This window comes from Homo sapiens, chromosome 17, assembly GCF_000001405.40.
Source record: "Homo sapiens chromosome 17, GRCh38.p14 Primary Assembly".
NCBI lineage: Eukaryota > Metazoa > Chordata > Mammalia > Primates > Hominidae > Homo > Homo sapiens.
The window spans coordinates 80,990,735-81,014,108 of NC_000017.11; the positions used below are offsets into that span (position 1 = coordinate 80,990,735).

General features: G+C 56.4%; 2 protein-coding genes across 3 annotated transcripts, besides 3 other annotated features; both read left to right on the forward strand.

Moving 5' to 3' along the window:
- Positions 1,000-1,329: a silencer, noted in NCBI's record as "silent region_9112". NCBI's record gives its function as "represses an Ori minimal core promoter by ATAC-STARR-seq in GM12878 lymphoblastoid cells {active_cell/tissue: GM12878}" and the evidence as "EXISTENCE:reporter gene assay evidence [ECO:0000049][PMID:35858748]".
- Positions 1,107-9,399, forward strand: CHMP6 (charged multivesicular body protein 6). 2 transcript variants are annotated; one of them, NM_024591.5, is made up of 8 exons: positions 1,107-1,247; positions 3,847-3,956; positions 4,285-4,372; positions 4,938-5,024; positions 6,273-6,338; positions 6,527-6,607; positions 7,632-7,686; positions 8,364-9,399. In NM_024591.5, exons 1-8 carry the CDS (start codon positions 1,185-1,187, stop codon positions 8,417-8,419), a joined length of 606 nt encoding a protein of 201 aa, NP_078867.2. In that variant the 5' UTR covers positions 1,107-1,184; the 3' UTR covers positions 8,420-9,399. The 2 variants fall into 2 exon arrangements, with proteins under 2 accessions (NP_078867.2, XP_005257725.1); XM_005257668.1 differs by lacking the exon at positions 8,364-9,399 and having other exon boundaries at positions 7,632-7,930.
- Positions 1,460-1,609: a silencer, noted in NCBI's record as "silent region_9113". NCBI's record gives its function as "represses an Ori minimal core promoter by ATAC-STARR-seq in GM12878 lymphoblastoid cells {active_cell/tissue: GM12878}" and the evidence as "EXISTENCE:reporter gene assay evidence [ECO:0000049][PMID:35858748]".
- Positions 1,620-1,809: a silencer, noted in NCBI's record as "silent region_9114". NCBI's record gives its function as "represses an Ori minimal core promoter by ATAC-STARR-seq in GM12878 lymphoblastoid cells {active_cell/tissue: GM12878}" and the evidence as "EXISTENCE:reporter gene assay evidence [ECO:0000049][PMID:35858748]".
- Positions 9,400-11,381: 1,982 nt separating the features above from the next.
- On the forward strand, positions 11,382-23,283 carry LOC124904077 (translation initiation factor IF-2-like). The gene has a single exon (XM_047437254.1). It carries the CDS (start codon positions 13,525-13,527, stop codon positions 13,993-13,995), a length of 471 nt encoding a protein of 156 aa, XP_047293210.1. The 5' UTR covers positions 11,382-13,524; the 3' UTR covers positions 13,996-23,283.
- Positions 23,284-23,374: the final 91 nt, after the last annotated feature.

Sequence of the window (23,374 nt, forward strand, 5' to 3'; positions counted from 1 at the left end):
TTGATGTTATTTGTTATATTTTTTGTAGAGACGGGGGTCTTGCTATGTTGCCAGGCTGGTCTTGAACTCCTGGCCTCAAGCCATCCTCAGCTGAGTGCTTTTCTTTGACACTTAGTGAATGCTCAGGAACCACAGTCAGGATACTCAGGCGGGAACCGGGGTGGCTTCTCCCTTTTACCCTTTATCCCCATTCATGTGTTTCTTAGCCCCCCAGGGAAGAATGCTTCTGTGGGGGACGCAGCCACGATTCCTTGGAAGGAGAAGCTGAGCCCAGCCATGCTGGTCTCCTCCTGGCACTGATCTACAGACAGGGAGCAGCGCAGTGGAAGAGGGAAGATCCCAGGGCTGAAAGGCTGGGTGGAGGGCGCTGCTGGTCGCATTTCAGGGAACATTTTAAAGTGCAAAGCGGGCCGGGTGCGGCGGCTCACGCCTGTCATCCCAGCACTTTGGGAGCCCGAGGTGGGTGGATCAGAAGGTCAGGAGCTCAAGGCCAGCCTGGCCAATATGGTGAAACCCCGTCTCTACTAACAAACATTAGCCGGGTGTGGCAGCAGGCACCTGTAGTCCCAGCTACTCAGGAGGCTGAAGCAGGAAAATCACTTGAACCCGGGAGGCAGAGTTTGTAGTGAGCCGAGATAGCGCCCCTGCACTCCACCCTGGGCGACAGAGCAGGACTCCATCTAAAAAAAAAAAAAAAAAAAAAAGTGCAAAACGTTGGATATCACATCATTAATGCGGCATTTTGTGTTCAGAGCCAGTGGGACAGTGATTCCTGCACAAGATTCCTGAAAGCCTGGGGAGACTGAATTATGTTAATCTAAAAGGATCCCACCTAATTAGGAGATAAGAAATTTTTGCCTTCACCTGCACAGGAAGGGTGCACGGAAACACGTCATTTAGAACATCCCGGGCCCGAACATCGCGGGCCCTAACATCCAGGTATCCGTGCCACTTCTCCGTACCGGTCCAAGGAGGCCGCGGTGTTCGCGGCGGTCGCCGAGACCGGCGGGCTGTGGTTTCGAACCCGCGGCAACGGCGCGCGGCCGGAGGCGGCGCTCGGCCTTCGCGTTCCGCGGCGCCTGGCCCGGCGCGGCCGCCGTAGCGGGAGGACCCGAGCTACGGTGGCCGCGGGGCGGCGGTGGCGATTGGACTTGGTGGGTCCCGGGCCAGGGGCGGGCGCCGCCATGGGTAACCTGTTCGGCCGCAAGAAGCAGAGCCGCGTCACGGAGCAGGACAAGGCCATCCTGGTGAGGGCCCGGGCCCGGGGTCAGGGCTGGGGCCGGGACAGGCGACGGGGCCGGGGCGGGCGGCGGGGCCGGAAGAGCCCCGCGCCCTCGGCCCCCCGCGTTCGGATGGGGAAACTGAGGCGCAGCGCGCAGCCGGGCCCCTCGGTCTCTCCGCCCTGCGTCCCTCCTCGCCCGCGGGGCCTCGGGCCGGGGTCTCCTGCGCGGCGCCGTGGCTGCCGTCTTCCCCGGGGCCCGCGCGTCCGCCTCTGCGAGCCCCGCCGGGGTGGGCGCGGCTGGTGACTGCGGGATTCGACGCCGGCGTTCGGGGCTCGGCCACAGCCTGGCGGCCCGTCCGTGGGGTCCGCGCGGCGCTGGGCTTTCCCTGGCTCTGGGCCCGCGGGAGCAGGTCCCGGCTCTCCCGGAGTCGCTGCCCCCGCCCCCGTCCCGCGGCTCATTTGCCTCCTGGTGCCCTGGGCCGGAGCCCCGGCGGTGCTGCCGGCTTCGCGAGGCAGCGCGGGGCATCCCCTCTCCCTCACCCCATCCAGGCCAGGACTGGAAGGAAGTCTGCCCTGGTCCGAGGAGCGGCCGACAGGTGCGCCGAACGCCTGCCGGGGTCCTGCCGGGGTCCTGCCGGGCTTCCGCAGCGCCTGGGTACGGGACCACCGTGTTTGGCGCGTTTGTTTGCGGCGACTCCAGACTGACCCCCCGGGGCACAGCCGGGCCGGTGGTGGTGCCTTTTCCCATGTGAAAGTTAGCTTCTGTAGGAGGAGGAATCGCCTGGCATGTCAGGGACAGGGCGGGTTAAGAATAGTCCATTTTTGTAACGAGATAAACGTGTCACGAAAGAGACCCCGAAATGAAAGCAGGGCTAGCTTTTTCGGATGCTTTCTTTTCTAAATTTTGTGCAACAGAAATAGGTTAATTTTATACTAAAAGAGAAGCGAATGTAAATGAAAGAGGGAATCTTACGTTGGCATCTGAGTCCATAAGCTGTGAAAAGAAACAACGGGCACATTTGTCCCTAGAGAAGATGGGCACAGCGCTGGGCACCGTCCCGAGCTGCCTGCAAGACAGCTGGACCCAGCCTCCATCGTCCACCTTCCACCTACCCTGCCAGCCCCAAGGCACTCCCTCCCCTCTCTTTAAGGACTCAGCTCCGGTTTCTCTTCAAGCACAGCTTTCCACTTGCCAAGGGTCACTGTGGGCTCTCGGCTGTGCAGACCCGTGTTGCGGGCTGCCGTAGGTCTCCCTGGGATTTTGGGTGCTTGGGAACAGCATCCTTAGCACACACTAGCACAAATGATTGCTTTTTTTTTTCTGTTTTTCTAGGATAACAGGTGTTCCCCACGTGGCCTGTGACCCTCCACTGAGACCTTGTTTTACAGGGGGGCAGCCTGGCCACACCTGCCTGCCTTTGGCCCCTGGGTCTCCCCAGCAGTGGGGCTGGGCAGGGGGCACCTTTCACTGTAGCAACGAGAGGACCCACAGGCCTTGGCACGGCGAGGGGGAGACTCCGTGGGTGGAGGGAACCGGGAATGAGCCCTCTCAGGTAGAGGGAGCACTGGCTTCCCATGCGGAGTCTTAAAGAGGCACACAGGCCCTGACTGAGCTAATTCTCCTCAGCCTCCTGCCTTAAGGCCATAATCCCTGTGCCTGCACGGGCTCAGCATTGTCTGAAGTGATGACGTTTGGAAAACTTAAGGACCTGATAGAGCAGGACTGGCTGAAGTTCCTCAGTGGCCGAGTGCCCTCTCTGGGACGGCACACAGATGAGAGGCGGTCAGCGGGGCCGAGTGGGTGTCCCTGCAGCCGGATGGTTGGCAAAGGGGCAGGGAAGCCACAGGCATCTCATGCGGCTGAAGCGCAAGGAGAGAAGCCGGGGGGATGTCTGAGCCCTGTCCTGGCCGTGTGGCTGGTGGCACTTGGGTACTCGCCACCTGCATGTTCTTGAGTCGGAACTTTTTTTTTTTGAGATGGAGTCTCACTCTGTCACCCAGGCTGGAACACAGTGGCATACTCTCGGCTCACTGCAAGCTCTGCCTCCCGGGTTCACGCTGTTCTCCTGCCTCAGCCTCCCAGGTAGCTGGGACTACAGGCACCGCCACCACACCCGGCTAATATTTTTATGTATTTTTAGTAGAGACGGGGTTTCACCATGTTAGCCAGGATGGTCTCGATCTCCTGACCTCGTGCTCCGCCCGCCTCGGCCTCCCAAAGTGCTGGGATTACAGGCGTGAGCCACTGCGCCCAGCCGAGTCCAAACCTTTGAGGTCCTGGCAGCTGCTCCCTGACCTGAGCCTAGAGTGCTTGTACCGCTGGCAGGCAGCCTCGAGGGTGGACCCACAGCAATGCCACGGTGGTCTTCCCCATCCCTGTGATGGGCTGTGGAGTCCGGGTGACCCTCTGGTGGGGCCGCCTCTTGTGTGGCAGGATGTGGAGCTGAGTCCCTGGCTTCCACCCCCAGACGTGTCCAGACAGCACCACCTGTCCCCTGGAAGGCAACCCTGCCCCATGAAGGACACTCACGGAGGGCCGCCCGGCCTCCATGCCTGGCGCTCAGTAGCGTGGCCAGGGCTCCCAGTGTGGGCTCGGTGACGCCAGGCCCTCTCTCTCTTGGCAGCAACTGAAGCAGCAGCGGGACAAGCTGAGGCAGTACCAGAAGAGGATCGCCCAGCAGCTGGAGCGCGAGCGCGCCCTGGCCCGGCAGCTGCTGCGGGACGGCAGGAAGGAGTGAGTGGGGCCCGGGCAGCGTGGGCACCCTGTCGGCTGGGGTGGGGGGCCCGGGCAGCGTGGGCACCCTGTCGGCTGGGGTGGGGGGCCCGGGCAGCGTGGGCACCCTGTCGGCTGGGGTGGGGGGCCCGGGCAGCGTGGGCACCCTGTCGGCTGGGGTGGGGGGCCCGGGCAGCGTGGGCACCCTGTCGGCTGGGGTGGGGGGCCCGGGCAGCGTGGGCACCCTGTCGGCTGGGGTGGGGGGCCCGGGCAGCGTGGGCACCCTGTCGGCTGGGGTGGGGGGCCCAGGCAGGGCCACAGCGGGTCACTCTCGGGCTTCCCTCTGCAGACGGGCCAAGCTGCTGCTCAAGAAGAAGCGATACCAGGAGCAGCTCCTGGACAGGACGGAGAACCAGATCAGCAGCCTGGAGGCCATGGTAGGCGGCCGGGTGCTTCGCCCTGGAGTGCAGGTGCAGCTGGAGGCAGCTCCGCCCGGCTGCGTGGACATCAGAAATTTCTCCCGAGAGCTGAAAGCTCCTCTCAGATGCCTCGGGCTGAAGCTGACCTGAAGAGGGGCGGGCCTGGAATCCCGGGGAGTCTGCCAGGAAGCTAATGGTCTTAAGAGGCTGGGGGGCAGGTTGGCTCTCGCAGGACTGAGGTGGGGAAGGTTGGGCCACCCCTGGGTGGTGTGGGTAGGTCAGGGGTCTGCATGGGGACTGAGTGTCCCTGGTGTTAGGGACCCGAGCGGCGTGGTTCTGCTCTTTGGTAACCAGAGCTACTAACAAGCAACCAGCGGTCCCCTGAGTGTGTCCCTGGCACCTGCTCAGTCCTGCGCATCCCCACCTGGCAGTGGGAGAGGACAGGGAGGAGCAGGTGTCAGGAGTCACCCTCACGCCCAGCAGCACCCGCCCAGCAAGGGTGTCATCCTGAACCCTGCCCCAGGGCCGGGAGGAGGGCACCCCGGATCCTCAGCACCTGCGTCTGCTCTGGTTTCCTTTTCAGGTTCAGAGTATTGAGTTCACCCAGATCGAAATGAAAGTGATGGAGGGGCTGCAGTTTGGAAATGAGTGTCTGAACAAGATGCACCAGGTGAGTCTCTGCAGGGCCAGGGGCATGGAGGTGTGGGGAGCCCATTGGGCTGGAGCTGGGGATAGGGCGGGGGGCTTGTCCCACGGTGTTCGTGTCAGACACAGGGCAAGAGGCTGGCAGGGGAGATGTGTTGGGTGCTGCCAGGCAGGCAGGGATGCAGTGACCGGGTGCAGCACAGGCTGGGAACTGTGGGAACTGGGTCCCCAGGCGCCGAAGTGACATAGAAGGGAAGTCTGAGGGTGGGGAGGGGGCTGGCAAACTAATCACAGAAGGCTTCCTGGAGGTGGCGGGTGTGGTGGCTCACACCTGTAATCACTTTTGGAGGCCAAGGCAGGCAGATCACCTGAGGTCAGGAGTTCGAGACCAGCCTGGCCAACATGGTGAAACCCTGTCTCTACTAATAATACAAAAATGAGCCAGGCGTGGTGGCAGGCACCTGTAAACCCAGCTACTCAAGAGGCTGAGGCAGGAGAATCTCTTGAACCGGGAGGCAGAGGTTGCAGTGAGATGAGATTGCGCCACTGCACTCCAGCCTGGATGATAAGAGCAAAACTCCGTCTCAGGAAAAAAAAAAAAGAAGGCTTCCTGGAGGAGGTGAATACCGGCCTCATCTCAGGCCGGGCATGGATGTGAAGCCCAGCGTGGCCATACCACGTTCCCCCACCAACCCCATCACACTCCTGACATGGGGGCCAGTAGGTGGGGCTAGTTGGAGAGCCAGGGACTCACCTGGCGGGAGGTCTGGCTGTGCTACTTTTCCAAGTGTTTGGTGAGTACTGGTGGTGTGTGCCGGTCAAGCACAAGTGGCCCTTTGACCTTTTGCCACTCAAAAGAAATCAAGTCACCTGCCCAGAATGTTCTACCTGTTGCTTGTTTTTACTGGCGGCTGTGAGAGCTGACTCAGGGTGAGAGGGGGCATCGGGCGCCAGGGCAGTGCAGTCGTGGCCTCTGAAAAGACTCATCAAACGGCCCCTGTGGCCTCAGGACAGGCCCATGCCTGGGACACACATGTCCTGGCCTCATTTAAACAGGGACAGGAGCTGGGTGTGGTGGCATGCACCTGTAGTCCCAGCTACTTGGACGGATCGCTTGAGCCCAGCCTGGGCAACACAGCCAGACCTTGTCTTTAAAAATAAATAAAAATAAACAGAGGGGTGAGGCCATGGCCCTGAGAGCCCAGGAGGCCTCTGTCGGGGGTCTACCATTGGCCTCGCGACAGGGGTCAACACCCATCACCCTCGTCCACAGGTGATGTCCATTGAAGAGGTGGAGAGGATCCTGGACGAGACGCAGGAGGCCGTGGAGTACCAGCGGGTAGGTGGCACCCTGACCGGCCTGCCCCCAACTGTGAGAACCCACAAGGCCACCCTCGAGGGCCAAACTGTCCCACATCCTAGAGCGGCCGCCTTCTCTCAAGGGGACGAGACCCAGCCACAGGCCATCTCCTTCCTCCCTGAGGGGCCACCTCCTCGCTGCTCTCACCACCGCCTGTCCTTTTGCAGCAAATAGACGAGCTCCTGGCAGGAAGCTTCACTCAGGAGGATGAAGACGCCATCCTGGAGGAGCTGAGCGCAATCACTCAGGTAACGGCCCCCCCGGGACTGAGCACAGTCACTCAGGCAGCGGGACCCCCAGAGCTCAGACCCCCAGGAGGCCCTGCCCATGGTGATCTCGTATGTGGTGTCCTTTAAGTAAATAGTCTGCGGTTTGTGACTGGTTTTCCTACCTGAGGTGACTCTGTTTTCAGGGTTGCTCACCCAACGGTCTGGTGCAGGCAGGCTGGCCCCGTGCCCTGGACAGAGCGGGGGTGCTGGGCCTTCCTGGCGCCTCGGCCCCTTTCTGTCCCCGGCTGTCACGGATGTGGTGCTGGCTTTCCCCAGCCGTGGCTGCTGACTCACGTCCCACATAGGCCCTCGCTGCGGGGGCCGCGTCCTGGCCCCAGGCTCACATCCAGGCTCTGAGTCTGTATTCACTCCCCGACACAGGGGTTGTCCTCTCTGTGGGCCCCTGCCTCAGTCCGCCAAATTCTCATGGTGCCCCCAGAGCCGGCCTCTGCCCCAGCCCTGCTGCCAGCTGCCCCGGCGCCCTGGTGCTGTGCGGCCCATGGTGCCTGCACCCACTTGCTTGTCCAGTTACTTTCTCCTGAGGGTCCGAGTCCTCCGGGGCCTCCAGGGAAGGCCAGCTGAGAGGCAGAAGCACCCGTGCTGGCTTAGGCAGCCAAGCTCGCTGGGACAGCGTTGTACCGCAGCCCACCCCGCAGTGGTGGACACCAGCGTGACCTGGGTGTCTGTGTCACCCACCCCTCGGTCCCTGAGAGCCAGGGTCTCTGGGGCACACCCAGGACGTCGCCTCCTTACAGCCCCTCAGCGCCCCAGGGTCTGTTGGGAGGAGCCTCCATGGTAGCGGCTGCGTCACCACCTAGGGGATTCTGGTGGCACCAGAAGCCGGGGCGGTTGCAGACTTGGGTCTTCTGAGCAGCACGTTCCTGTCCGCTTTAACTCCGGCTGAGAGCGGCTGACGGACAGGATCCGTGTCCTCTCGGGGAGGCCCAGGCAGCCCGGGGCAGACCTGTCACCTGCTCATAGCCTTACCCTTTGCTTCTTGCAGGAACAAATAGAGCTGCCAGAGGTTCCCTCCGAGCCCCTTCCTGAGAAGATCCCAGGTATTTCCATGTTTGATTCTTTTGAATGGTTGGAATTCGCAGGAGAAAAGTGGATTCTAGAAGGGAACAAGACAGAATGCTCCCAGGCCTTCCTGGGCCGTGGGCAAGCCCTGCTGCCTGGCTGTTTGGCTTGGGGGCGTGCGTGCCTGGCCTTGGGGTTGGGCTTGGGTTTCCCAGGGGTTCGGTAACTGGGCAACCTCATAAGAGAGCCATACCCCATTCAAAGAGACACATTCAGAAATCAGAACTGGGGAAAGGCTTCTTTAGCAGCACCAGCTCATTCCCAGGGTGTAGCCCAGGATTAGCCCTCAGCCAGGGATGGCTCTCCCCGTGGCACCATTCAGCACAGGCTCTCCAACCTGCCCACTGGGAAGCTGACTTTAGAACCGTCCATCCACGTTTGTTCTGTTCCTTTACCCATCTTTGGGGCTCTTCTCCTCTCTGAGTCCCGCTGGGAGGGGCTGTGCTTTCCTGGCCCACTGTCCCGTGTCCCTGGCCCTGTCTGTCAGCCCCATTGGCTTCCTGTTTGTCACTTGCCTCCCCCAGAGCTGGGCGTGCCCTTCCCTAGTGCGAAGTCCCCGGAACTGGCCCTTGCCACCCCTGTGGCCTCGTCCCTCTCTGGAGGTCTCTGCCTGTGGGTCTTTGGCGTGTCATAAACATCTCTGTTTCCTCCACAGAAAACGTCCCTGTCAAGGCCAGGCCCAGGCAGGCGGAGCTGGTGGCAGCTTCGTAACGTGGCCTCGTCTTGTGGGACTCACGGGGATGCCCCAGGGACTGTGGCCCACAGAGAGTTTGGGTCACGGCCAGCCCCTGACCGGGTTCCCTGGAGCCCAGTGCGCACGGTGCTGAGCAGAGCTGCAGCCACGCAGGCGCATTGCAGGAGGACTCCAGAGCGTCTCCTGGAGACCTTGAGCCTGAACGCACTCAGGCGCCACTGGCCTGCTCTCAGTCCGGATTAACTCTCGACCGAGCCCAGCTTCTGCCGGTTGTGGGCTCCCCCGGTGGCCGAGGCCCAGGCCCAACGCCTCTGGTGCTGTTCCCCTGCAGTCCCAGCCCCGCGTGGCTCGCGCTCGTCTGTGAGGAAGACACCTCCAGACCTTGGGGTCCCCGCGCTTCCTCTTGCTCCTCGCTGCTCCCATTAGCTGGTGCAGGCTTCCGTTAAGGGGTCCCTCCCTTGGCCTGGCTTCCCGGCGCACCTCAGCTTCCCTGCTGGTGGGGGGATCCCCAGGAGACCAGCATGTGCTGAACCTCTCTGTGCCTCTGCCTCCGCACCCTAGACACCCACCTCCAGTTTGAAGGTGGCGGGCCAGGGGCTTTCTTGCTGAATTGACGACTCCGAGAGCCCTGACTCCCGCCTTGCCACTCACGGCTCTGTCCACTAGGGCTCAGCCCTGCTGAGAAAGGACCTCCGATGCTTGGGAGACGCTGCTCCGGCAGGTGCAGCCCCGGAAGTTTGTCCATGGGGGTCCCCGCGGCTGGGGCTCATGGAACTGCGAGACCCGGGACCCTCCTGCCCTGCGGGTCCCCGAGCCACCAGCAGCCAGGACTGGAGGCTGTGGGGCATGGCGTGACTTCTCGTGCACAGGGCTGGTTTGGTTATGAGACGATCTCGCTGGGACCGCCCCTGCCCGTGGAAAGCCACAAGGACAAAGGGAGCGGCCACCTCGACCCCCAGACAGGCCGGCCCGTATTAAAGTTGGCCCTGCACGCCCACTGCCTCGTGGACTTGGGCGCAGTGGGCACCTAGGCGTGGCTCCCTCTGTGGGAGCGTGGGTGGGTTGTGTGCGGCCCCTCCCCCACGGTGACCCTGACCAAAGCCCAGCCCCTTGACCAGCATGGGGACGCTCACTGGAGGGCTCCTGCCCAGTCCGGCCAGGCCTGGGCTCTGCACACGTGAGATGGAAGCTCTGGGCCCTGACGGCCACCTCTGGGCAGCTGCCCTCCATGGGGGCCAGGGTGCTGCTCTGAGCAGGCTGGCAGGCTGTCTCCCTCGCGTGGCTGTGTGTAATCCTGGGCCCAGAGGGTGGTGGGTTTGGGGTCCTGGTGCCCAGGCGGGAATCTTGATGTGCAGGGAACACGATGGGCAGGTGACCCCCAAGGGGTGGCTCCACACCCCGCACCGGTGGGCATGGGGGTGCTGGCCCTGCACTGCCGGGTCTCAGGACTGAAGAAGCTGAAGACCTGGGTTTGGGGGAAAGTCTTGTTTCTCCCCGTGGCGGCAGCTCTCCTGCGGTGCACGTGTCAGCTGGGGTTGAGGGGGTCTTCCAACCACCCTTGCAGGGATTCTGCAGAAAACTAGTTGGCTGGCGCTCCCCCTGTCTGTCCCCAGGACTGCCAGGCAGCCTGGAGGGCACCTCGTGATGAGGCTCCAGCCCCATGACCTGCTCCCTGCAGCAGTGCGTCCCAGGCCTGTGGAGCACCGGCTCTGGGTCCCAAACTGCACGCAGGGTGCCAGGAGCCTGCGTTGGGAAGCTGCAGGTGTGGCTGGAGGGGCCCTGGCTACTGTCAGTCCCAGGCCTCAGTCACAGCCTTTACACACCCTGCCTGTGGGGCAGGTCCCTCCTTTCCCTCTGCCTCCATTAGAACCCAGGGGCTTTTGCCAAGAGAGGCCGGGTGTTCTGGCGGCATTTTGTGGCAGGACTTTGCTCTCAGCCCCAACCGGAGCAGCTGTCCACAGTGCCCTCCCCCTTGTGCCAAGTTCCTGGTCAGGGCCCAGGAGGCCATCCAGGGAACGCCAATAACCATCCATCCCTGCTACAGCACAGCCAGGAGTGGGGTGGGGTCCACGTTCCCTCTGACTATCCAAGAAGTTAGAGCCTGACTACTACTCAGCCGTGTTCTGTGTACCAGTGTTCCTCCCTGGACCTCGCAAGAGTCTGCCCGGACAACCCAGAGTGACCTTGAGCTGATTCCCAACTCTGGCATTGGTGTGTCCTGGCTGGCCGGCTCCTGGTTATGTCGGGCTGGTGGCAGCCCCTCCTGCCAGCAAGGTACAGAGCCCAGTGCTGGCCGGAGCCTGACCAACCTGATCTCCTAATCTAGGTTGGGGACACAGGAGCATGACAATCACAAGTCAAAATTAGGTGTGGAACCTCAGGGCGGAGCTGGTGTCCTGCCAGAGATGCCTGGGGGCCGGCGGGAGGACTTGGAGGAGGAGAGGCTGCAGAGGGCAGGGACACAGAGTAGGGGGCCACACAAAGGGTGGCTCAGAGTGGAGGAGGGGCATAAAGGAAGAGCCATACATAATCAGCAGCTTTGAAGGGTGTTGGAGCCTGCCAGCCACAGAGGACTTCCCAGGGAGGGAATGGGGCATAGTGTGGAAGTGGTGCCCTCATTTTCAGAGGCTGCAGACACTTCGCTGGAAGGCACACTTGCCACGGGGCAGGCAGTGTGGCAGTCAGAAATGTGTGGGATGGAATGGGCGCGGTGGCTCACGCCTGTAATCCCAGCACTTTGGGAGGCCGAGGCGGGCGGATCATGATGTCAAGAGATTGAGACCATCCTGGCCAACTTGACGAAACCCCGTCTCTACTAAAAATACAAAAATTAGCTGGGCATGGTGGAACGCACCTGTAGTCCCAGCTACTCGGGAGGCTGAGGCAGGAGAATCGCTTGAACCTGGGAGGCGGAGGTTACAGTGAGCAGAGATCATGCCACTGCACTCCAGCCTGGCAACAGAGCGAGACTCTTTCAAAAAAGAAATGCGTGGGACAGAATGGCGGGTCCATCCTGGACGGGATGGGGCCCCTGACCCCTGTGTGCCTGCGCTCTGCCAGCTCCTGCGCAGAGCAGGTACTCGGGGGAGGGAGGATGGTTTGCTCCAAACTCAGGTCCCAACTGGTGTCTGACTTGGCCGCAGAATCCTTTGGGTCCTGGTTTCTTCATACATGCAATATTGGGGGTTTGGCCTTGGGGGTCTCTTCCAGCTGAGTCCACTTCTGTCCCCAGCCTGTAAACTGTCTGCACCTATTGACTCTTGATGGTCTCTGAGGGACTCAACTTTAGGAACTCTGTCCGTTTTGTGCTGCTGTCACAGAGTGCTTGAGACTGGGTAATTTATAATGAACAATCAACTGGCTCACGGTACTGGACAGGTGCCAGCATCTGGCGAGGGCCGTCCAGCTGCGTCATCACATGGTGGAAGGCAGGAGGGGAGCCACCCCACCCTTTTATAACCAATCCCAGCCGTTAGGGCGCAGCCTTCATGGCCTAACCACCCTCTGAAGGTCCCACTCGATACTGTTAAAAGGCAATGAAATTTCAACAGGTTTTGGAGGGGACAAACATTCAAACCATGGCAGAAAGTGTGGAAGGAGCAATAACCACACTGAACAGAATGACCATGGTAATTAAACCCCAAGTGAAACCATGACCTGTTTTACATCATCCTGGAGAGAACAGTGCAGCTCCAGTACTTGCTGAGCTGCAGAGACAGGGTCCATCCAACTCGACAGCATCCAGCAGCCACTCCAGGCCGCCAGCAGACAGATGTTGGGAGCAGCACTGATAGTTTGGGTTTTCGTTTGTTTTTTTAAGACAGGGTCTCACTTGCCCAGGCTGGAGTGCAGTGGTGTGATTATGGCTCACTGCAGCCTGGAACTCGGGCTCAAGCGATCCTCCCACCTCAGCCTCCTGAGTAGCTGGGACTACAGGTGTGTGCCACCAAATCCAGCTAATTTTTGTTACTTTTTGTAGAGATGGGGTCTCACTATGTTGCCCAGGCTAATAGATTTTTTTAAATGATCATACAGGACGGCTGGGTGCAGTGGTTCACGCCTGTAATCCCAGCACTTTGGGAATCCCAGTACTTTGGGAGGCCGAGGCGGGCAAATCACCTGAGGTCAGGAGTTTGAGACCAGCCTGACCAACATGGAGAAACCCCGTCTCTACTAAAAGTACAAAATTAGCCGGGCGTGGTGGCGCATGTCTGTAATCCCAGCTACTCGGGAAGCTGAGGCAGGAGAATCGCTTGAACCCAGGAAGCGGAGGTTGCAGTGAGCCGAGATCGCGCCACTGCACTCCAACCTGGGCAACAATACAAGACTCCATCTGAAAAAAAAAAGATCACACAGGAAAACAGAAGTTCGATTTTACGTCGTACACTGCTGTAATTTCAGCACATGTGGACTCGTGTAACCAACACCATAACCTTCCATCACCCCTGAAACTCCCTCCCGCCAGCCCTTTAGGGTTGCCCCTCCCCCCGAACCCCACCAGCCCCTGGTGACCACTGATCTGTCCTCCAACCCATAGTGTTTTTCCGGGAATGTCACAAAAACAGAAGCCGACCATGGGTCACCTTTCTGGCGCCTTTCTCCCCGCACAAAGTCTTTGTCCTTGTGAAGTTGTCACGTGCCAAACGCTTGTCCCTTTTTCCTGCTGGGTAATACTCCCGGTGCCGCCCTTGCTGTTCGTCGATGCACATCTGGCTGCTTTTCGCTGGCTGCGAGCGGAGCTGCTAGGGACATGGCCACGGGGCTGTGAGAGCGGAGTTTCCTCTCTCCGGTGACCCTGAGCTGCGCCTTTCTCAGCCGCCTCCCGAGGCCCCAGGCGCTCTGCGGGGGCTCTGGCGGGGTTGGTGGGGGTGGGCGTTCTCGTTGTTTCAGCGGCGCTGCCCCAGGCCCTGCGGGAGGGACCGTGGGACCCGAGACATCCCCGCCTGGCCTCCGCTCCCCACCCGGGAGTGGGGCTCGCACCCCCCCAACCTCGGGTAAAGACGCTTCTGGAAGGAAGGGCGCCCCGCGGACCCCGCCCAACCCTGCCCAGCCCAGCCCAGCCCAGCCCAGCCCTTCCCGGGGCGGCGGCGCGGGAAGCAGGCGGCGGCGCACGGGCGTCGTCATGGCAACCCCACCGGCTCCGGGGGCCGGGACCGCTGCCCCCTCCGCCCCTCGACCCCCGCCCCCCCGCCCTTCCTGGCTGCGGCTGGACCCGGCTGCGCGGGGCGCGAGGCTGCCTTTCCCGGGATCACCAGGGACCACCCGGCGCGCTCCCCGGGAATCCGCACCCCTGGCCCCAGCGCTCCGGAGCGACCCGGGTCAGCCCCTGGCTGCCTGCAATGGGCCCCCGGGCGAACCCCGGGCGGACCCAGGAGTGAGCACCCGGTGCGCGGCAACGATGATCCCGCAAGGGAAGCTCACGGGAGGCAGGAGCTGTGGCAGCCGCCCCAGGATGGGGCGCGGGGAGCGCGCTGAGCTGTCCTTTCCCGCAGCGGCCCCGCGGTTGAAGCGTGGGCTTGGGTTTTGGTTTTTCTTCTGTGGCAACAGTTCTGTTGAGATATTACTCGCCTGCCATACAACTCACCCATTTTAAAAGTACACCTCAGGGGTCCTGCGTGTATTGACAAACCCGCCGCCGTCACCACAGCCAATTTCAGAACATTTTCATCTCTTCAAAAGAAACCCTGTACCCTTCAGCTGTCACCCTCCTGGTCCCCATCCGGTCCTCGTCCCGCCCTCAGCAGCCACGCACTGCCTGTAAAGTCCCCTGTCCTGCCCTGTAGGTGGAATCTATACCTTGGGGTCTGTTCTGACGTTCACCTAACAGCCTTTCCAGGCTCAGCTGTGCTATTGTATGGACCAGGGGGTTGTTTTGTTTTTGTTGTTTGTTGATTGTGTGTGTGTGTGTGTGTGTGTGTGTGTGTGTGTGTGTGAGCCTGGCGTGGTTGCGGGCGCCTATAATCCCAGCTGCTCAGGAGGCTGAGGCAGGAGGATCACTCGAGCTCAGGAGTTTGAGGCTGCAGAGTTGATCATGCCACTGGACTCCATCCTGGGCGACAGAGCAAGACTCTGTCTTTTAAAAAAAAAAACGGGGCTGGGCGCGGTGGCTCACGCCCGTAATCCCAACACTTTGGGAGGCCGAGGCAGGCGAATCACGAGGTCAGGATTTCGAGGCCAGCCTGGCCAACATGGTGAAACCCCGTCTCTACTAAAAATACAAAAATTAGCTGGGCATGGTGGCGGGCGCCTGTAATCCCAGCTACTAGGGAGGCTGAGCCAAGAGAATGGCTTGAATCCGGGAGGCGGAGGCAGAGGTTGCAGTGAGCCGAGATCGTGCCACTGCACTCCAGACTGCAGCCCTGGTGACAGTGCGAGACTCTGTCTCCAAAAAAAAAAAAAAAACAAACAAAAAACAATAAATAACAAGGTCGGCTGAGGTGGCTCACGTCTGTAATCCTAGCACTTTGGGAGGCCGAGGCGGGTGGATTACCTGAGATCAGGAGTTTGAGACCAGCCTGACCAGCATGGAGAAACCCCGTTTCTACTAAAAATACAAAATTAGCCAGGCGTGGTGGCGCATGCCTGTAGTCCCAGCTACTCGGGAGGCTGAGGCAGGAGAATCGCTTGAACCTGGGAGGCAGAGGTTGCAGTGAGCCGAGATCATGCCATTGCACTTGCAGCCTGGGTGACAGAGCAAGACTCTGTCTCAAAAAAAAAAAAAAAAAAAGACTCAAAAAAAAACAAAAATCAGCCAGGCGTGGTGGTGTACACCTGTAGTCCCAGCTACTCTGGAGGCTGAGGCAGGAGAATCGCTTGAACCCATGAGGCAGAGGTTGCAGTGAGCCGAGATTGCGCCACTGCACTCCAGCCTGGCAACAGAGCAAGACTCCGTCTCATATAAAGAAATAAAACAAAAATAAACAAATTTTAAAAACAAACACATTCCTATACAGGTTTCTGTGTGGACAGCGTCTGCTCTTGGGTCTGCACCTGGGAGTGGAATTGCTGGGTTGTGTGGTAACTGGATGTTCACCCATAGGATGAACGACCACACTCTTTTGCACAGTGGCCGATGGTTCTGGTCTCTCTACAGCCTCACCAACTCTTATATTCTTTTTGATTACAGCCACTCTAGCAGGCATGAGGTGGTACGTCATTGTGGCTTTGACCTGCATTTCTCTGGTGTCTAATGGTGTTGAGCATTTTTTCGTGGGTGTTACTGACCATTTGTATATCTTAGAGAAATGTCTATTCAGATAATTTGCCTATTTTTAATTGGGTTCGTTGTCTTTTTATTGAGTTGTAATACTTTATTCGGGATACTAGACCCTTATTAGACACATGATTTGCAAATATTTTCACCCATTCTTTGGGATGTCTTGTTAACCTTTTTGATGGTGTCCCTTGAAGCACAAAAGTTTTTAATTTTGATGAAATCTAATTTATTTTTGTTGTTGTTCCTTGTGCTTTTGGTGTCATAGCTAAGGAACCCCTGCTTAATCCAAGATCATGAAGATTTGTGTCTATGATTTCTTAACAGTTTTATAGTTTATTTATATTTATATAAATATGTTTTTGAGACAGGGTCTCACTCTGTTGGCGAGGCTGGTCTTGAACTCCTGACCTCAGGTGATCTGCCTGGCTCAGCCTCCCAAAGTGCTGGGATTGCAGCCGTGAGCCACCGCGCCCGGCTTGACTTCTTCCTTTTATATGTGGGTATTTTTCTGTCCCAGCGTCATTTGTTAAAAAGACAGTCCTTTCTCCGTGTAATTGTTTTGGCACCGTGTGGAAACCCGCTGCCTGTAGCCAGGAGCTTCTTTCCAGCCCTCAGTTCTGTCCCATTGCTCTGTGTGTCTATTCTTACGTCCTCATGGCAGCCTTGTAGTAAGCTTTGAAATTGGGAAGTGTGAGTTCTCCAACTTTGTTCTTCTTTTTCAAGATTGTTTTGGCTATTCTGGGACCCTCAAATTTCCATGTGAATTTTTAGGATAAGCTTTTCAGTTTCTGCGGAGGAGCCAAGTGAGATGTTGATAGGAGTTGCGTAGAATCTGTGGATGTGTTTGGAGAGTGCCGCCGTCTCCGCTACATTAAGTCCAGATCCGTGGATTGAGGGTGCCTTTCCATTTATTTTGGTCTTCTTTACTTTCTTTCAACCAAGTTTTGTAGTTTTCAGAGTATAAATTTTATACTTGTTTTGTTCAGCCTATTACTGTTTTATTTTTGGTGCTATTGTAAATGAAATCTTCTTAATTTCAATTTCAGATTATTCACTTAAATATACAGAAATACAGCTGATTTTGTATATTGAGCTTGTCTCCTGCAATGTTGCTGAACTTGTTTATTAGGGTTTTTTTAAGTGAAATCCTTAGGACTTTTTATATACAAGATGAGGTCACTTGTAAAGAGAGATAGTTTACCTCTTAATTTCCAACCTGGATGCCTTTAATTTCATTTCCTTCTCTAAGTGCCTGGTTAAAGCTTCAGTACAATGTTGATTAGAAGTGGGTATCTTAGGCTGGGCGCGGTGGCTAACACCTGTAATCCCAGCACTTTGGGAGGCCGAGGCGGGAGGATCACGAGGTCAGGAGATCGAGACCATCCTGGCTAACAAGGTGAAACCCCGTCTCTACTAAAAATACAAAAATTAGCCGGGCGTGGTGGCGGGCACCTGTAGTCCCAGCTACTCGGGAGGCTGAGGCAGAAGAATGGCGTGAACCCGGGAGGCATGGTGGTGCATGCCTATAGTCCTAGCTACTTGGGAGGTTGAGGTGGGAGGATCATTTCAGCCCAGAAAACGGAGGCTGCAGTAAGCCATGATCGTGCCACTGCACTCCAGCCTGGGAGACAGAGCAAGACCCTGTCTCAAAAAAAGAAAAACTGTTCTGAAGCACAGTGTAGTCTAGTACTGTGGCATTCCCACCTGTATTCCTGCTTGTTCCATTTACTTGAGAAACATTTTTTTCATAAATAATATGAAAACATATCCATCCCAGTTTCTGTACATTAATTCCAGACTAAGAGCATTTAACCTGAGTTTAGTGGTAGATTTAAGGACACTCATGAGAAAAACCTCCATTTATACAAGAGGAACAGGACCCTTCCTTATCTCGAGGATGATGTCCCGCAGGAGACGCCTGCTCTCCTCCAGACAGGCTCTAGGGCTGTTCATCTGACCTGCCTTGGAATGTCTCACGTGGCTGCGACGCCAGCCTTTCAATCGTCTCCCATGGATGAAGCCATCGTGGGTGTGTCTTTGGTATGTGTCTCTGTTGCTTGGTCTGCCCTCTTTTTTTTGAGACGGAGCCTCACTCTGTCACCCAGGCTGGAGTGCAATGGCCCAATCTCAGCTCACTGTAACCTCCGCCTCCTGGGTTCAAGCGATTCTCCTGCCTCAGCCTCCCAAGTAGCTGGGATTACAGGCATGCGCCACCACACGCAGCTAACTTTTGTGTTTTTAGCAGAGGCGGGGGTCTTGCTCTGTTGCCCAGGCTGGTCTCAAACTCCTAGGCTCAAGCAATCTGCCCACCTTGGCCTCCCAAAGTGCTGGGATTACAGGTGTGAGCGACTGCGCCTGGTCCAGGAAGGGAACTTTAACACATAATGGATAAAGCTGGACCCTCAAGCAAAATAGGAATATTTAAAATCCATTGTTTTGGATTAACTGCAGCATCTCCAGATTATCTTTCCTCCATTTTAAAGTTACCTACAAAGGGTCCATACCTTGATGGTAGCATCAGCCCTCCACAGCCCATCTCTTTCTTTCTTTATTTTATTTTTATTTTTTTGAGACGGAGTCTCGCTCTGTTGCCCAGGCTGGAGTGCAGTGGCTTGATCTCGGCTCACTGCAACCTCTGCCTCCTGGATTCAAGCGATTCTCCTGCCTCAGCCTCCCGGATAGCTGGGATTACAGGCGTGTGCCACCACACCTGGCTAATTTTTGTATTTTTAGTAGAGACGGGATTTCACCATGTTGGCCAGGCTGCTCTCAAACTCCTGACCTCGGATGATCCGCCCGTCTCGGCCTCGCAAAGTGCTGGGAGTACAGGCATGAGCCACCACTCCCGGCCAGCCAGCCCATCTCTTTCACTGTTACAACTAACAACTCAAATCCAGGAAAAACAAAGCACCCCCCGCCCCCGCCACCACCGCCCTGCCACTGAGGACTCTGCAAAGTAAACCAGTAAACCAAAGCTGTGGAGGTGGCCCCTGTGGGGAAGCCGTTTCCTGGTTTTATCTTCCCTTTTCTCTCGTAGCTTTGCCCCAGGATGGGCCTCAGTTACGGAACTGCACAGAAACACGGAAAGCTAAAACTCCCATAGAAACCTTGTCCTTTTGGCAAGAGAAATTGTGAACAGGGGCCACTGAGGTCCAGAAAGCGTGTGGTGGGGGAATCCCAGAAGGGAGCGAGTGGGAGAAAGAGGCCTTGGGACTCTGAGGAGGAACCAGCAGCAGCCCCGGCTCCCCCACCCGAGCTGCACCTGTGTGGGGTGCACTCAGAGAAGCAACAGGAATTGGCTTTGAAAGTGGAACCTCGACTGGAGCAGAGGCAGCAGAACTTTGTGGTTGGAACTAACCAGGTTGATGGGCATTTAAAAAAAAAAAAAATCAACATTCTCCAGCGGATTGTTGCGGAGTCCACCCAGCATAACCGTCAAAATGTCCAGTTCATGGCCGGGCGTGGTGCCCACAGCTGTGATCCCAGCACTTTGAGAGGCGGAGGCGGGCAAATCGCTTGAGCCCAGGAGTTCGAGACCAGCCTGGGTAACCTGACAAAAATCAGTTTCTACCAAAAAATACAAAAATAAGCTGGGCGTGGTGGCATGTGCCTGTATTCCCGCTACTTGGGAGGCTGAGGTGGAAGGATTGCTTGAGCCTGGTATGCAGAGGTTGTAGTGAGCTGAGATTGCACCACTGCACTCCAGCCTGGGTGACAGAGCCAGACCTGGTCTCAAAATTTTTTTAAAAAGCCCAATTCATAATCCCAAATTATGTGACATATAAAAAATCATGAGAATGTGACCAGTTTCCAAAGGAAAAGTGATACAGTTTGGATATTTTTCCTGCCCAAATCCCATGTTGAATTGTAATCCCCAGTGCTGGAGGTGGGGCCTGGTAGGAGGTGACTGGATCATGGGAACGGGTCTCTCATGAATGGCTTGGGCCACCCCCTTGGTGATAAGTGAATTCTTGCTCTGAGTTTACATGAGATCTGGTCATTTCAAAGTGTGTGGCACCTCTTCCCTGCTCCTCCTCTGCCTTCCACCATGATTGGAAGCTTCCTGAGGCCTCCTCAGAAGCAGATGCTGCGATGCTTCCTGTACAGCTGTAGAACCATGAGCCAGTTAAACTTATTTTTCTTATAAATTATCCAGTCTTAGATATTTCTCTTTTTTTTTTTTTTTTTTGAAACAGTCTCGCTCTGTTGCCCGGGCTGGAGTGCAGTGGCCTGATCTCGGCTCACTGCAAGTTCCACCTCCTGGGTTCACGCCATTCTCCTGCCTCAGCCTCCCAACTAGCTGGGATTACAGGCACCTGCCACCACGCCCAGCGAATTTTTTGTATTTTTAGTAGAGACAGGGTTTCATTGTATTAGCCAAGATGGTCTCAATCTCCTGACCTCGTGATCCGCCTGCCTCAGCCTCCCAAAGTGCTGGGATTACAGGCGTGAGCCACCGTGCCTGGTTGCTTAGCTATTTATAGCAATTGCACGAATGGCCTAATACAGAAAATTGGTACCAAGGAGTAAAGCATTGCTATAGATACCTGAAAATGTGGAAGCAGCTTTGGACCTGGGTAATGGGCAGAGGTTGGAAGAGTGTGGAGGGCTCAGAAGGAGACAGGATGATGAGGAAGAAGAATTTGATGAGGAAGAATTTGGAGCTTCTTAGAAACTGGTTAAATGATTGTGACCAAAATGTTCATAGTGTTGTGGACAGTAGAGGCCAGGTTGACGAGGTATCAGCTGGAAATGAGGAACTGATTGGAAACTGGAACAAAGGTCATGTGTTCTTTGCTAAGGTTTTGGCAGAGAGCATGGCTGTATTCTGTTCATGCCTCGGGATCCATGGACATTTAAACTTGAGAGTCATGAGTTAGGGTATCTGGTGGAAGAAATCCCTAAGCAGCAAAATGTTCAAAAAGTGGCATGGCTGCTTCTAACAAACTGTACTTAGATGAGGGAGCAAAGGAATGACTTAAAGTTGGAACTTATATTTAAAAGAGAAGCAGAGTGTAAAAGTTTGGAAAATTGGCTGGGTGTGGTGGCTCACACTTGTAATCCCAGCACTTTGGGAGGCCAAAGCAGATAGATACCGTGACGCCAGGAGTTCAAGACCAGCCTGGCCAACATGGCAAAACCTCATCTCTACTGTTGGGAATAACGCTCAAAATCCTAAGGTGATCGAACACTCAAACAAAGGATTCTTTTTTGTTGTTCTGTTTTGTTTTTGTTTTCGAGATGGAGTCTTGCTCTGTCACCCAGGCTGGAGTGCAGTGGCACTATCTCGGCTCACTACAAGCTCCACCTCCTGGGTTCATACCTCAGCCTCCCAAGTAGATGGGACTACAGACACCCGCCACCATGCCTGGCTAATTTTTTGTATTTTCAGTAGAGACAGGGTTTCACCGTGTTAGCCAGGATGGTCTTGATCTCCTGACCTCATGATCCGCCCACCTCAGCCTCCCAAAGTGCTGGGATTACAGGCGTGAGCCACCGCGCCCAGCCTCAAACAAAGGATTCTTAGCAAAGCAATTTTACTTCTGCGTAGACAGGTGCTTCTCCTTGGCCAGTTGCCATGAGAGCACACCTGAACAAAGGGGCATGAGGGCCTTTATTTCTGATGCAAGTCCTGTCCCTGTACCCTTTCCCCATTGGCCAGGGTTGGGTTGCACAAACTGAACTAATCCCAGTTGGGTAGACATTTGAACTTTCTTTAGATATGGTGGGCATGTAAGGGAGAGAGGGAAAGAAGAAGGGGAAGGAGCGTTTGCAATGAGCTAGAGACTAGTCTCCTTTCCAAATAAGGAAAGGAATGTGAGCTGGTACTGATAAGCCTGGTCCTGTGGCGTGTCCAGGCATCTAACAAAGGCAGAAAAGAGAAAAAGGAAAAAGGGGTGGGGGAGGTACTATGAATTAAGGAAGAAAGGATTGATCAGGCTATTTGAAGAGAAACCTCATCATATCCCACATCTACTAAAACTACAAAAATGAGCCGGGTGTGGTGGAGGGCACCTGTAATCCCAGCTACTCGGGAGGCTGAGGCAGGAAAATCACTTGAACCTGGGAGGCGGAGGTTGCAGTGAACCAAGATCACACCACTGCACTCCAGTCTGGCGACAGAATGAGACTTTGTCCGCCACGCAAAAAAAAAAAAAAAGTTTGGAAAATGCGCAGCCTGGCCATGTGGCAGAGAAAGGAAAAGCTTTTTCAGGAGAGGAATTCAAGCAGAGTGTGGAGGAACCACTTCTTAGAGATATTTGCGTGTTTGAAAATGAGCCGAGAGGTGATGACCAAGCCAATGGAATGATGACCTTCATGACAGCCCCTCCCATCACAGGCCCTGAGGCCTAGGGGAACGAAATGGTTTTGTGGGCCAGGCCCAGGGCCCCACTTCCCTATACAGCCTCAGGGCAGTGCTCCCCATATGGCATCCCAGCAGCTCCAGCTCCAGCCTCAGCTCACAGGGGCCCAGGTACAGCTCAGGCTGCCACTTTGGAGGTTGCAAGCTGTAAGCCTTGACAGCTTTCACATGGCATTAAGCCTGTGGGTGCGCAGAATGCAAGAGTGAAGGCTTGGCAGCCTCTGTCTCGATTTCAGAGGATGTATGAGAAAGCCCAAGTTCCCAGGCAGATGCCTGCTGCGGGGGGCAGAGCCCCCACAGAGAACCTTTACTAGGGCAGTGCCAAGGAGCAATGTCCACAAATCCCCAAAATCCCATCTGACTAATTGAGAGAGTTGGAGCCCCCACACAGAGTCCCCGCTGGGGCACTGCCTAGTGGAGTTGCGAGAAGGGGCCACTGCCCTCCAGAATTCAGAACGGCAAAGTCATCAGCAGCTTGCACCCTGCGGTTTCACAAGCACTCAACAACCTGTGAGAGCAGCGTTAGGGATGGAACCTGCAAAGCCCCGAGGGCGGAGCTGCCCAAGGCCTTGGGAGCCCACCCCTGGCACCAGTGTGCCCTGGATGTGGAGCATGGAGTCAAAGGAGATTGTTTTGGAGCTTTCAGATTTAACACCTGCCCTGCTGGGTTTGGAACTTCCATGGGACCTGTAGTCCCTTTCATTTGGCTGATTTCTTCCTTTTGGAATGACAGTACTTACCCAGTGCCTATATTCCTATTGTGTCTTGGAAGTAAATTACTTGTATTTTGTTTTACAGTCTCATTGGTGGAAGGGACATGCCTTGTCTCGGGGGAGACTTTGGACTTTTGAGTTAACGCTGGAATCAGTTAAGATTTTGGGGGATTCTTGGGAAGGCATGATAGTATTTTGCAATGTAGGAAGGACGTGAGATTTGGGAGGGGTCCCGGGTGGAATGATATAGTTTGGATATTTGTCCTCACCCAAATCTCATGTTGAATTGTAATCTCCAGTGTTGGAGGTGGGGCCTGGTGGGAGGTGTTTGGGTCATGGGAGCTTGGGCCATCCCTTGGTGATAAGTGAGCTGTCTCTCTGAGTTCACACGAGATCTGGTCATTTACAAGTGTGTGGCACCTCCCCCATCCCCCCACTTGCTCCTGCCTTTGCCATGTGATGTCCCTCCTCCTGCTTTGCCTTTGACCATGATTGGAAGCCTCCTGGGGCCTCTCCAGAAGCAGATGCCGCTGTGCTTCCTGTACAGCCTGCTGAACCACGAACCAATAAGCCTTTCTTTATAAATGACCCCGTCTCAGGTATTTCTTTATAGCAGTGCAAGAATGACCTAATACAAAAAGACAATCAACAGGCCGGGAGTGATGGCTCATTCCTGTAA